The sequence below is a fragment of the Homo sapiens genome, chromosome 21 (genome assembly GCF_000001405.40).
Source record: "Homo sapiens chromosome 21, GRCh38.p14 Primary Assembly".
NCBI lineage: Eukaryota > Metazoa > Chordata > Mammalia > Primates > Hominidae > Homo > Homo sapiens.
In genome coordinates this window covers 26901073-26913430 of record NC_000021.9, presented here as the reverse complement: position 1 = coordinate 26913430, position 12358 = coordinate 26901073, and the positions used below count along the sequence as shown (strand labels likewise).

At 36.8% G+C, this 12358-nt stretch overlaps 1 long non-coding RNA gene across 1 annotated transcript in view, besides 1 other annotated feature; it reads right to left on the bottom strand.

The window, feature by feature from the left end:
• Positions 2970-3518: an enhancer, noted in NCBI's record as "NANOG hESC enhancer chr21:28282232-28282780 (GRCh37/hg19 assembly coordinates)". NCBI's record gives its function as "activates a minimal SCP1, AML or CMV promoter by ChIP-STARR-seq in naive H9 embryonic stem cells {active_cell/tissue: H9 hESC(naive)}" and the evidence as "EXISTENCE:reporter gene assay evidence [ECO:0000049][PMID:30033119]".
• LOC105372760 (uncharacterized) overlaps positions 3031-12358 on the bottom strand; it is a 55507-nt gene continuing 46179 nt past the window's right edge. Inside the window, exon 3 of the long non-coding RNA XR_937632.3 lies at positions 3031-3565. This is a non-coding gene — a long non-coding RNA (uncharacterized LOC105372760). The remainder of the gene's footprint in view (positions 3566-12358) is intronic.

Genomic DNA, 12358 nt, shown 5'->3' with positions numbered 1-12358 from the left:
AAATTCTTTGTTGGCAATCAATACATGTGTAACGGTTTTAATCAAATGGGTCAAAGATTTGACAAACGTGTTTTGGTTATATATTGCTGTTATTACTTAATTTCCCAAAATGGAGTGGTTTAAAGCAACACTTTATTGAATATTATGATTTTGTGAGTCAGGGCTCTCAGCTGGGTGATACTTCTGCTCCACACACCAACTGGACTTAACTGGAAGGTCCAAGACAGGTTTAATCACATGCCTCATGTCTTGGATGGGACAGCTAGATAATCAGTCTCAGCTGGGTTCCCCTCCCTCTCCAGGTATTCGCAAGGCCTTTCTGTGTGGCCTCTTCAACAGGGTATTCACTCTTCTTACAAAGTGGCTAAGGGTTCTAAGAATAGGTTTTTCCAGAAAACCAAGTAGAATCTCTAAGATGTTTTATGCTCAAGCCTTGGAAGTGCCAGAATATTCCTTTGTAACACAACTAATTAAAAATTTCACAACGCGTGAATCAACAACACTCAAAGATACTACCTTGATTCTTCGAGAAATGGAAAAATTATAAAATATGCCACTTTATACTTTGGTTACCAACCTTTTAAAGTAAATTTTTCATTGTTAACATGTCTTTCCTACATGCAGAAAAAATGAGGCTCTTATTTCAGAAACAATATTTAGAATTACAAAGGCATAATAGTTATCAGTGAGGAGGAGATTACTACCCTTTGTATCCATTCAAGTATAAAATACTACACTTGCTCTTAGCCAAAAGGCTGAGAAGCGATCAAGTATAAGATAAGCAAACTGCAGATAAGAAGTCTCAGTATTGTAATTAACTTAGTGCTCTGACTGGGGAAGCTTCCTTGGTGAGGGTGGGGAGGATGAATTGATTCTTTTGCTTGTTTGTTTGTTTGTCTCCCAATCTAAATGCCTTACCCTGAAAAAAAAATTTCAACATTTCTGAAAGGTGTTGTTACTCTGTGAACCAGAGGTATTCAGATATAAGGTAGACAGGAAGTAAGGGGACCATTCTGTGAATCAGGATGTAAGCAGGCCCCAAATATATTTTCCAGTAGGAAAGAAAGTTTTTATCTGTTCTACATGTAAAGTTGGACAAGACATCTTCATTTTACAAAATTGATTAAGCCAGATGTGTACAAGAGTATAATGAATTGTTCAGGCATCTGCTGAGTCTTTTGTGAGCAACTGAAACCCCTCTAATGAGGAAAATGAAGACTTGGGAAATGTGATACTTAGAAAATGTAGCTAGCCTTAGTTTGGATCTATTTAATGAAGCTACAATTAAGTTCCAGCTCCATTCAAGTGATACAGCTCACTCCTAAGTCCTGCGTGTTCCTCTGCCATTGCTCCTATGGGGCTGATCAGAGATTATGGATCAATTATATAAATTCATCAACACAGACTTTAAAAGGCACCTACCGCTAAAAATGGGTCAGGAAACTACAGAAAGGACAGATTGTATGTTGCACCCTCCTCATACTGAAAGAATGAAACTATTTTAATATTGATTGAGTGTTTCTGGAGCACATTATTGTTATTTTTCCAATCCATTAGAATCAGACTCCTAAGCCATTTCCAAAATTTTTGCATTGACTGCTCCCCATTATGTGAGCTCAGTGACAGAATTAGACATAAAATCCGGAATTGTCGTTGTAGATTTTTTTTTTTTTTTTTTTACTTTGGGGTCATAGGAGGACACAGAAATCTCTCTAAAATAGGCCCCAGCTGGCTGTCACATTTTCTTGAAAATAAATGTTCTCTCGAAGTCCTTTAACTTTGATCTTTCATTTATCCTCTTCCAAAAAATCTGTATTGTATAGGAACTTAACATCTGATGCAGGGAACCAAATGCTTCTTTAAGAAACTTATTAAAGCTGTAGTTTACTTAATAAATGAGCATGCACACAAAATATTATGTACAAATTTGAGATAATTTATATACCTCCAGAAGCTAAATAAGAAAATCCAATGTAACATAAACAAAAACAAATGTGCTGTAAATGGAAATTTTCTAAGAAGTAATTTCTCACAAGTGAAAATTTTGCTCCTAAAATTAGAACATATTTAGTATTCATTGATCCTTTAAACAATTCTTGAGCACATATGTAATATGACCCAGAATAATACAGGGATGTGATCACAAATAAGACTCGGTTTCAATATTCAACAAGCAAAAGCCAACGGGGTGCATATATAGGAAATTACATTGCAGTGGAATTGCTTCTATGATACAGGTAGATACAGTATCAATCATGTAATACAATACCCAGAGAAGCAACAAGCTCTTAAAGTGCATTAATACAGTTATAAATGGTGATGCTCTTCCTAGTCTGCATTGATAAGGTATGTTGCAGATTCTGACACTGCTAACTTCCATTCCACCTGCTTTTTTTGCTCCATAATAACATCTGCTCAGCTAGAGACTAGGTCTTTGAGCAGTTGAACAAATATCAACAATTAACCATCCCTGGAATTTTTGTTATGTAAGAACTTTTTTTGTTAAAGGATTAAATCACTGCAGGATATTCTGAATTTTGGAGACAAAAGCATTTCTAACTGATTCAGTTTCTCATGGGAATTAGGATTCTCAACCTTGGGAATCTTAATAATAATATAAACAGATTGAAGCTCTGCTTAGAGAAAGGTTAGAAAGATGGAGGATCTAAAACTATGTCCTATTTTGTATAACAAAATAAAGTTTGGAAAATGGACTTCAGAACAAAACAGCATGTGCTTTCAAATAGTTGAAAGGCTATCATGGAAAAGAAAAGTTATAATTATTTTACATAAGCCGAAGGGTACAATGAAAACCAATGAGTTGGTCAAAGTAAGAACCAGTGTAGAAAAAAGTTTCTACCATTCTCACATTTCATTTTTTCTTCCAAACACAGTTGCTTCAGAAGGGTCATAACTGTAGAGGTTTACTTTTACCACTCCCTTTCACCCATGAAAAGTTTTCCAAAAGGTCAATGTATGCTTTGTGTTTATACACATCACTTTAAGTTAGTTTTACGAATATTTGTCCTATTATTTTTTCACTATGTAGACTACTTATACTTCATGCATTCAGTATATAATGCTGACCAATTACAAATTTCTAGTTTTAATTTTCCCTTAGTACAGTGGTTCTAAATCCGGAAAAATTTTCTCCCTGTGGGATATTAGTGATGTTTGGAGATGTTGTGGATTGCCACAGTGGTGGGAGGGATGCTATTGACATCTAGTGGAAAGAATCCAAAGAAGCTTTTGAAATGCACAGAACAGCCCCCATCCCCCGACACAAAGAATGTTTCTCTCCAGAATGTCAGTAGTCCTGAGATTGAGGAACCCGCTTGAATAGACTACTCCTGTCCTATTGTGCCTGTGTCATAAACATGCTCAAGGGAATACTTCTTACCTTCTAATTAGATGTGATCAGTATGTCTGTTACTCTTTTCTCCTTGCTGCTATAGAAGTTGGAGCAGCAGAAGCTGGGAACCAGAGCTTCATTCTTGGAACATTGGCACATGCTGTGTGTTTCCTGAGACCCAAATAACCTCAGGTAGGTTATGAGCTGTGGGCACTGTTGGGACAATTGATGGATTATGCAGGTGAACATGGCATAGACTGATGACAGGCAATTACTGTAAATCACCGTTAGTTCTACTTCCAGCCATATGCAACTGATTGCAAGAAATCTATGGAAAACGGCCCTGGCCCATGCATTTTAGAAAATTAGTGTTGTACCTAAAGCCAGTTTTGCACATTTTCTGAATGAGTTAAATGGAATGTTTTCCATATAGCCAAATGAAAAGAGTTGAGAAGAATGAAAGTTTTGTTTCCTCAATGGCATTTTTAAATAATATCTTATTTTAGGTGCAAATAGCGTGTATTTTTAAATAATAAACTCTGTAAATGACCATGTTCTAGTTTTTAGGGAATTCTAGGAAGTACAAAAACATGATACTACAACAGACAATCCTAATTCAGTTTCCAATGTGCATTTCTTAGCATAGATATTGGTTTTTTGTTTAATAATCTTTTTGTTTAAAAATTCTTAAACTTTTGCTTGAGAGTAAGAGTTATTTAAAAGCTTGTACATGAAGATTTATGCCAAAATATACATTCTTAAACTTGGCTATTTAACATTAGGGCCATTAAACTTGGCCCTAATGTTATTCTAATTGACGAAAGAAACAAAAATTTGGGGAGCAAGGGGAGTATTTTTCTTTCTGTTTTTCCAAACACAATTTCCTAATTTAGAAAAGAAGTCACCAGTAACACAATAGCCAGAAATTTGGTCAATACCAAAAAGGAACCACAATAAACAATATCTTAGAGGTCAAGAAATGAGAGACAAATAGAGAGAAAGGAGGAGGAGGAGGAAGAATAAGAAGAGGAAGAGGAGAAGGGAGGGAGGAAGAGGAAGAGTGGAAGAGAAGGGGGAAGGAGAGAAAGAAAGAGAAGGCTACAAGCACTATGGCTAAGATCAGGTAAGATCAGGGTAGAAAGCACTATGAAGTTCTACTTACATTTTCATGAGGTTGTTATTCATTTTTAGATATATACAGTGTACTTGCCACTGGATTCCATCATGTCAAACCAGGATTCCTGAAGTTCTTGTTTATTTCTGCTGTCTAAACCCATTACCTTCCACCTCCTAAAGGACTCAACACCACAGCTTTCAAGTCAAGGCCAAAGACACTAACTACATCTCCAGAATCAAGTGTACGATTTGAAAAATGATTGCACTTTGATGTGCTTGCTTTTCTCTCATGGAAATGATTCTCAATCATAATTGTCAATCTTGACTCAATTCAAAGCCTGATATACACAGAGACTAGTATGTTAAAGTACTCAAGCCACCAAAATGAAAGGTAGTCACTAAAAACAAATTATATTGGTTTTGATTCACTGTGCATATGATATAGATGAAGCAGTGAATAATTCCTTTTCTCAGTTCAAAGCTAAACTTTGGAGGCAGCGTGTTTTCCTGGATGTTTAACTAAATCTTCTCAGCTAACATTACTAGGTCAAAGCAACAAAATTCCAAAACACTATTGTATTTAGAAATACAGTGGATTCTCACTTGTGAGGATTCCACACTTTAAAGAATATTTGCAGCTCAGTGTTTGACCCCATAGTGCATGCCTTCCTCTGGAATCTAGCAGATGACAGGTACTTATCTAAATTCCAACCAACTTTTCTAGCCACATGTGCAACTGCTATACCTGATCAAACACACTGATGATTCTGACACAAAGGCCAGATTTCCTCTAAATGCTCATGTCTCTGGGTCTTTGCCATATAATTCTTCAGCCAGGTTGTCTTTCAATCATCTTTCCTAACAAAGCTCTATGCAGTTAAAAGGTCTAATTTGTCAAGCAGATGGCCCAATTCTGCTGCTACTATTCTACTACACACATACACACACACATACGCACAAACACACTCATTTCCAGTAAAAACCAATTACTATGGCTTCTAAATGTCGATATTATGGGTATCTATATTATTATACTTTTCTATTTTTGCCTTGACTTTAAATAAATTGCAGAAGTCTGTTTCTTCCTTACCCTGACAACGTCACTACCCCACATAACATTATAAGTCTTGAGAGGGCAAAGTCATGTTTTAAACATCCTTATATTTGTAATCACTACAAGTTTGTTGTATGAATGATTACATGAATATGGATTTTAATATTAGCTAGAACAAACATTGTAGATATTAATTTATAATACAAAACATTTAATTTAAAAATGCAATCTGTCTCTATTTAGAACTGTTGATGATTTATCCATCGTGGATTGTTGTGCAGTAATTTAAATTTTTAAAACTGTAACACTAAAGTATAATTTTTCTTGATAACAAAGTCTACCAAACCTCCGCCCTGCTCAAATTTGGTGCTGGAAGCAAGTCTTTCACTTATCTTATCATAGACCCAGTATAAGAATATTTATTACACCTAACGTAGCTGATGAAAAGTTAGTAGAACATGCTTTTTAACTTGTCGTCAATGCTAATGAAATTCTGTTACTGAAGAAAAATAATGTAATGCATAGATTAGAGAATTAAGGAAGCTTAAAAATCGTATCATCCACTCCCTTCCTTTTAAAGATAAAGCAAGCACCTAAGGGCCAGGAGTTTAGGAGAAAGTAGTCTAGGAACATACCTTTTCTTCTTTTTTTGTCGGTAATGTGAGGCCTTCATCAGGTTAGAGGTCTGTGGCCATGAACAGAGCCCAATAAGCTTTCCTATGCATTGGCACCAGTTCAAGATCTTGGCTTTGTTGGTACTGTTCTCTATCATTCTGTAGTCAATGTATCTTAGATGACAATATATTTTAAAATTTAAAAAGCACAAAGAAGTAATCTTAGATCCTTGGTAATTCTGGCTTATTCCATTTGCCAATTGGGTCTCATATTTTGGCATGGACATGTATTTCCTTGAAGGATTTTATAATAAAAACATTAAAGTAACAGCATGTTCAAGAAAGTCAGAAAGAAGCAATGATCTATTGTCTTATGGAAGGCTTCTCTTCTACCAGATAAGGAAACTAATACTAAGTGAGAGAAGATGTTTGCTGACAGATGTTCTTGCCCTAAGTCAGTGGCTTCTGAAACTTGGCTGCATTAAAGTCACCTGTGGCACTTTTTAAAAATACCTGTGGAGCAACAGGAACGCTCATTCATTGCTGGTAAGAATGAAAAATAATACAGGCACTTTGGAAGACATTTTGACAGATTCCTACAAAACTAAATATACTATTACCATTTAATCCAGCAATTGTACTTTTTGATATTTACCCAGAAAGACTGAAACTTCTGTCCACACAAAGATGTTTATAGCAGCTTTATTCATAATTGCTAAAACCTGGAAACAACGAAGATGTCCTTCAGCAGGTGAATGAATAAATAAGCTGTGGTACATCCAGACATTGGGATATTATCAAGTGCTAAAATAAATGAGCTATGAGCTATAAAACCATGAAAAGGCATAGCAAAAACTGAAATGCATGATACTAAGTGAAAGAAGCCAATATGGAAAGCCTGCATACTTTGTGATTCCAAATGTTTGACATTCTGTAAAGGGCAAAACTATGGAGACAGTAAAAAGATTACTAGTTGCCAGGGTTTGGGCATAGGGAGGGATAAATATGCAGAGCAAAGGAGATTTTCAGGGCAGTGTATTAGTCTGTTGTCATGCTGCTCATAAAAACATACCTGAGACTCGGCAATTTACAAAAAAAAAACAGGTTTAATTGGACTCACAGTTCCACATGGCTGGGGAGACCTCACAATCATGGTGGTAGGCAAGGAGGGGCAAGTCACATCTTACGTGGATGGCGGGAGGCAAAGAGAGCATGTGCAGGGCAACTCCCATTTTTAAAACCATCAAATCTTGTGAGACCCATTCACCATCACAAGAACAGCAATGGTAAGACCCACCCTCAGAATTCCATCATCTCCTACCGGGTCCCTCGCACAACACATGGGAATTATGGGAGCTACAAGATGAAATTTGGGTGGGGACAGAGAACCAAACCATATTAGGCAGTGAAACTGCTCTGTATGATACTATAATGGTGGATACATGTCATTATACATTTGTCCAAACTCATAGAATGTACAACACCAAGAGTGAGCCCTAACGCATGGACTTAGGGTGATAATAATGTGTCAATGTAGGTTCATCAATTGTAACAAATGTACCATTCTGGTGGGAGATGCTGGGAACAAGGGAGGCTGTGCATATGTGGGAGAAGGGTGTATATGGGAAGTCTCTCTACCTTCCTTTCAATTTTGCTATGAAGCTGTAAATGCTCTAAAAAACAAATCTATTAAAAACAAACAAACAAACAAAAAACAACATCCAGGCCTCACTCCAGACCAACTAAATCAGAAGCTCTGGGTTGAGGCACAGGCATTTTGTTTTGTTTTTTTTTCTTTTTCTCCTCAGGAGATTTCCAAAGTGAAGCAGTGAAACAAATTATTTCTGTACATCTTTATGACAATGTTCTCATTCCTTGTTCTAGAATTTTTTTCATAGACTATATGCTTTGGTTTGGTGTTTAGTTGCTCATCTTTGAGAGGAAAAAAATTGTCAATCCAGACGATGATTTTTGCAATAAAGAGAGGAGCTAGCCTCCATCAAGTTTCACTTCATTTAGGGGAGTTTTCTAGTCTTGATCTAAAAGCCAAAAGGAGGTGCATCACCTTGCCTGGCTAATTTTTTGTGTTTTTGGTGGAGAGAGGATTTCAACATATTGCCCAGGCTGGTCTCAAACCGCTGAGCTCAGGCCATCCATCAACCTCGGCCTCCCAAAGAGCTGGGATTACAGGCGTGAGCCACCTCGCTCCACCCCCAGGCCCCAGCTTGGTGGCTTCTTTCTTGTCCAAGCTCAGAGATTGGAACCTAGAATGTGGAACCCAAGAATATGCTTTTCAAATCTGTCACACCAGAGATGAAATTAGAGAAAATTCTGCCCTTGTTCGCCTCTTGTATTTAATTTATAGTGCTGCTGCCACTATCTGTGTATTATTATGGGAATTTTAAAAGGAAGTTCAGACGAGGTATACTATTAAGCATGCCTAGTATTCTAACTCAGAAATCATATATATATACTTTTTTTTTTTTTTTTTTGAGACAGAGTCTCATTCTGTCACCCAGGCTGGAGTGCAGTGGTGCAACCTCGGCTCACTGCAACCTCTGCCTCCCAGGTTCAAACGATTCTCCTGCCTCAGCCTCCTGAGTAGCTGGGATTACATCTGCCTGCCACCATGCCTGACTAATTTTTGTATTTTTAGTAGAGACGGGGTTTAACCATGTTGGTCAGGTTGGTCTCAAACTCCTGACCTCAGGTAATCCACCTGCCTCAGCCTCCCAAAGTGCTGGGATTGCAGGCATGAGCCACCATGCTCGGCCTCCTATATACTTTTATAACCAGAAAAAAAAAATAATAAAACTAAAAATTCTGGTGTTTGCCCTATGTTCTGGAACATTAGATACAGTTTATGAGTTTCATCTGGATGCAGGCTAGTGGCTCACATCTATCTAGTATCCCCACTCCCAGTCTCTTATGCCTAAGGCCAGATCTCCCATCTTGAAGCCTCTGTTGAATCCTCTCTTGAATCCTGAATCCTCTTGAAGCTTAAGTTTTGTTCAATCAATAAATGTGAATCAAAATTATCAATCTATAAATCTTAGCAAGTTTTTAAACACATCTGAGCTTTAGTTTCCCCATCTGCATGATAGGGGATATAGCATAACTATATAATATGTAGCACAGAGGAATAGCTCCATAAATATTTGGTCTCTTTTTTTCAGTGATTCTTTCTTTCTTATCCACTCTTTTTCATGGAACTCTACTTAAAGCTGTTAAAGGCTACCAGGTGCCAATTATTAAAATAAACCTCTGAATCCTGACATGATAGGGTGTGGGCAAGCCTAACTTTCCTGCTTTACCTTCCACTTTGCCTATGTCCTGCACCCTGAGGTTACTCTCAACCACCTGACATGACTTGGCTGTCCCCCACATCCTTGCATTCTAGGGGCCCATCCCCTCTGTATGAGTACTCTACCCCATCCTTTTGTTACTGAAATTGTGTCCTTTCCCTAAGGGCAAATTTAATTGTCGCTTCCTCCAGGAAGCTAAGAGGGCCTCACTTCAAAGAACTTCTTCCAAATTTAGAGACTCAAATTCATACCTTGCCTTGTTAAGTCAAAAGTCAAATAAACCAAGAACATGCCAAGAACTTATTTAAGTTCACGGTGAAGTCAACAAATGAAAGAAGAAAATAAATATACCTGAAAAAGAAACATTCTAAAATATGTTTTTAATAAAAAACCTAATGCTTCATTTATATTTTTTCTTCTAATTTTAAAAAGATAAGCTAAATGCAATTTGTTTCATTTTAGCTTAACCTTTTTTCACTATAAAAGGGCAAGTGTTTATACTAATCCTCTGTGTAGATGAAATACTTAGATTGTTAAGGGGTCTGGTATACATCCTGTTTGCAAACTAAAATTTCTTTTTGAATGAAGAATAAATTGTGCATGTGCAGACCCAAAACAAAAACCTCATTTTGGGGCTTTGCTATTAGTTCCAATCTTTATAATCTGCATCTCTAAAATGTTCCACTTCACAAAGTACAAAGCTGTTTTCATAGTTCTCTCGTAACTTGTTTTCCTAAAGCACTCCAATCAGTTTTATGCCAGTGAATGTCTGTTGTGTTTATTATATTTTGCATTTTCTCCACCCGGGCCCCCACCCTCAAATCCCACATTGTGAGCAAGTCTTTTGAGTATCCAAGTTTGTTAGCAAATTTTCCAGCAAATAGAATTTTTTTGGAATTTTTTCCACCTTTGGTTGATGGGCTTACCCTGAAATAAACCAGTCATGTTTGTGCTAAACTTCTAATGGAACTTCACTTCCACTCACATTTAATGAATGAATGACGAACTGAATATACCAACAAAATCAAGTCATGAATAAAAATAGAGGGAGACAGAGAGTCACTGAGTAAAACAGAAAGAATGTGAGAAGAAAACTTTGGGAGAGAGAATAAATGTTTATTCCTGTGGCTCCTATAACAAAAACTTAGCAAATATATTTTCCCTAGGCTAAATATGAACATCTGAGAGAATCAACTAAATAAGTTAAACCTTTATTTTATTTCCGTTAGATCTCAATAATTATTGGTCCCCTCTACTGGCATCAAAATGTTGATAAGCCTATTACTAATGTAAGCGTTAAAAGTCACAAAGTGAATGTGAGATCACTTTGTGATTTGGAAGTTGGAATTTAAATACTAACTAGACCTATCTAGCTGAGTCAAGAAGCAAACAATGACAAAGCCTTACCCAAAACATCAAAGCAAATGGGATCTAGACTTTCTTGCTTCTGAGAAGCCCTTCGGCCTCACTTATAGTCACTGCTTTAGTTTTTGGCCCCACAGTATATCCTTTCATTTTAATTTTCTGAATTTCTGTGTATTTTTTTAATTGTTTGTATTTTTAAAAAAATTCTTGTGGGCACACAGTAGGTGTATATATTTATGGGGTACATGAGATGTCTTGATACAAGCATGCAATGTGAAATAAGCACATCATGGAGAATGGGGTATCCATCCCCTCAAGCGTTTATCCTTTGAGTTCCAAACAATCCAATTACATTATTTATTTAAAAATATACAATTAAATTATTATTGGCTATAGTCACCCTATTATGCTATCAAAGAGTAGGTCTTATTCATCTTTTCTCCCTTTTTTTTTGTACGCATGATCCATCCCCACCTCCCCCTCAACCCCCTAGTACCCTTCCCAGCCTCTGGTAACCATTCCTTTATTCTCTATGTCCTTTTCCAAAAGTACTAAAGTGCTAGCTTTGAACTAAGATGAATAACTGACTAGCAATAGGAAAATGAGGGGGAAAACATCAACCAAACAGAAAAAATGTGTTTAAAGCATAAACACCTTGAAAACTGGTCATATCTTCATCCACTAAATCAGTTTCACATCATAGCTTAGCCTATAACCATTTATTGTTCACTTCACTAAATTTAGTCTCAAGAATCTTAGGAGACTTGAGAAGATGATCACAGTGTATGCCCCGACCTCAGATAATGCTAACAAAATGTTATCAGTCACTCAAGATACACACTTTTAAAACCTCAAATCCCCAGAAAAATGATAATCCTTTCTTATACCTAAGATAGTAGTGTTATTTTTATAAATGCATTCAAATACGGCATCATACTTTGTCTGACTAACTCAACATAGATGCTGATTCAATGTTTGCTCTATCGGATAAAACTATATTAAAATCACGTGAGAAATTTTCATGTATACCATGGACCTAGGAAATAGAAGCCAAAATAAGTGTTGGTTGGAGACAGTGCTTGGTTTGTATGCAGCCAAATCATAGCTAAGTGTCAGGCTTGTTGGAAGAGTTGACACGCAAGACAGCTGGAGTCAGTTTATTTACCTGTAGGATAAAACGCTTACACAAAGAGATGGCCAGAAGCTGATGATGCCAAATCTAATTTAAAAATGAAAACACTTACATAAAGAGATGACCAGAAGCTGATGATGCCAAAAGTAATTTAAAAATGTGTGGTCACCTGCCCCATTGCATTTTTATGGGACGAGATCAATAATTCATAACCAGAAGTCAAATTACTTGCCAACGCTGTCAACAGCACCTGTTCATCTATTGGTTCAAAAAGACCAAGTTCACATTGATGTCCTCACAACACTTCACATTTCCATGTGACACTTCTCTATGCCTTACCATAGCGAGCATGGTACCATGCCCAACCTCTCCTGTCCCTGCCCTTCCCACCGCAAACACTAAAACTAATACCTCTCTGAG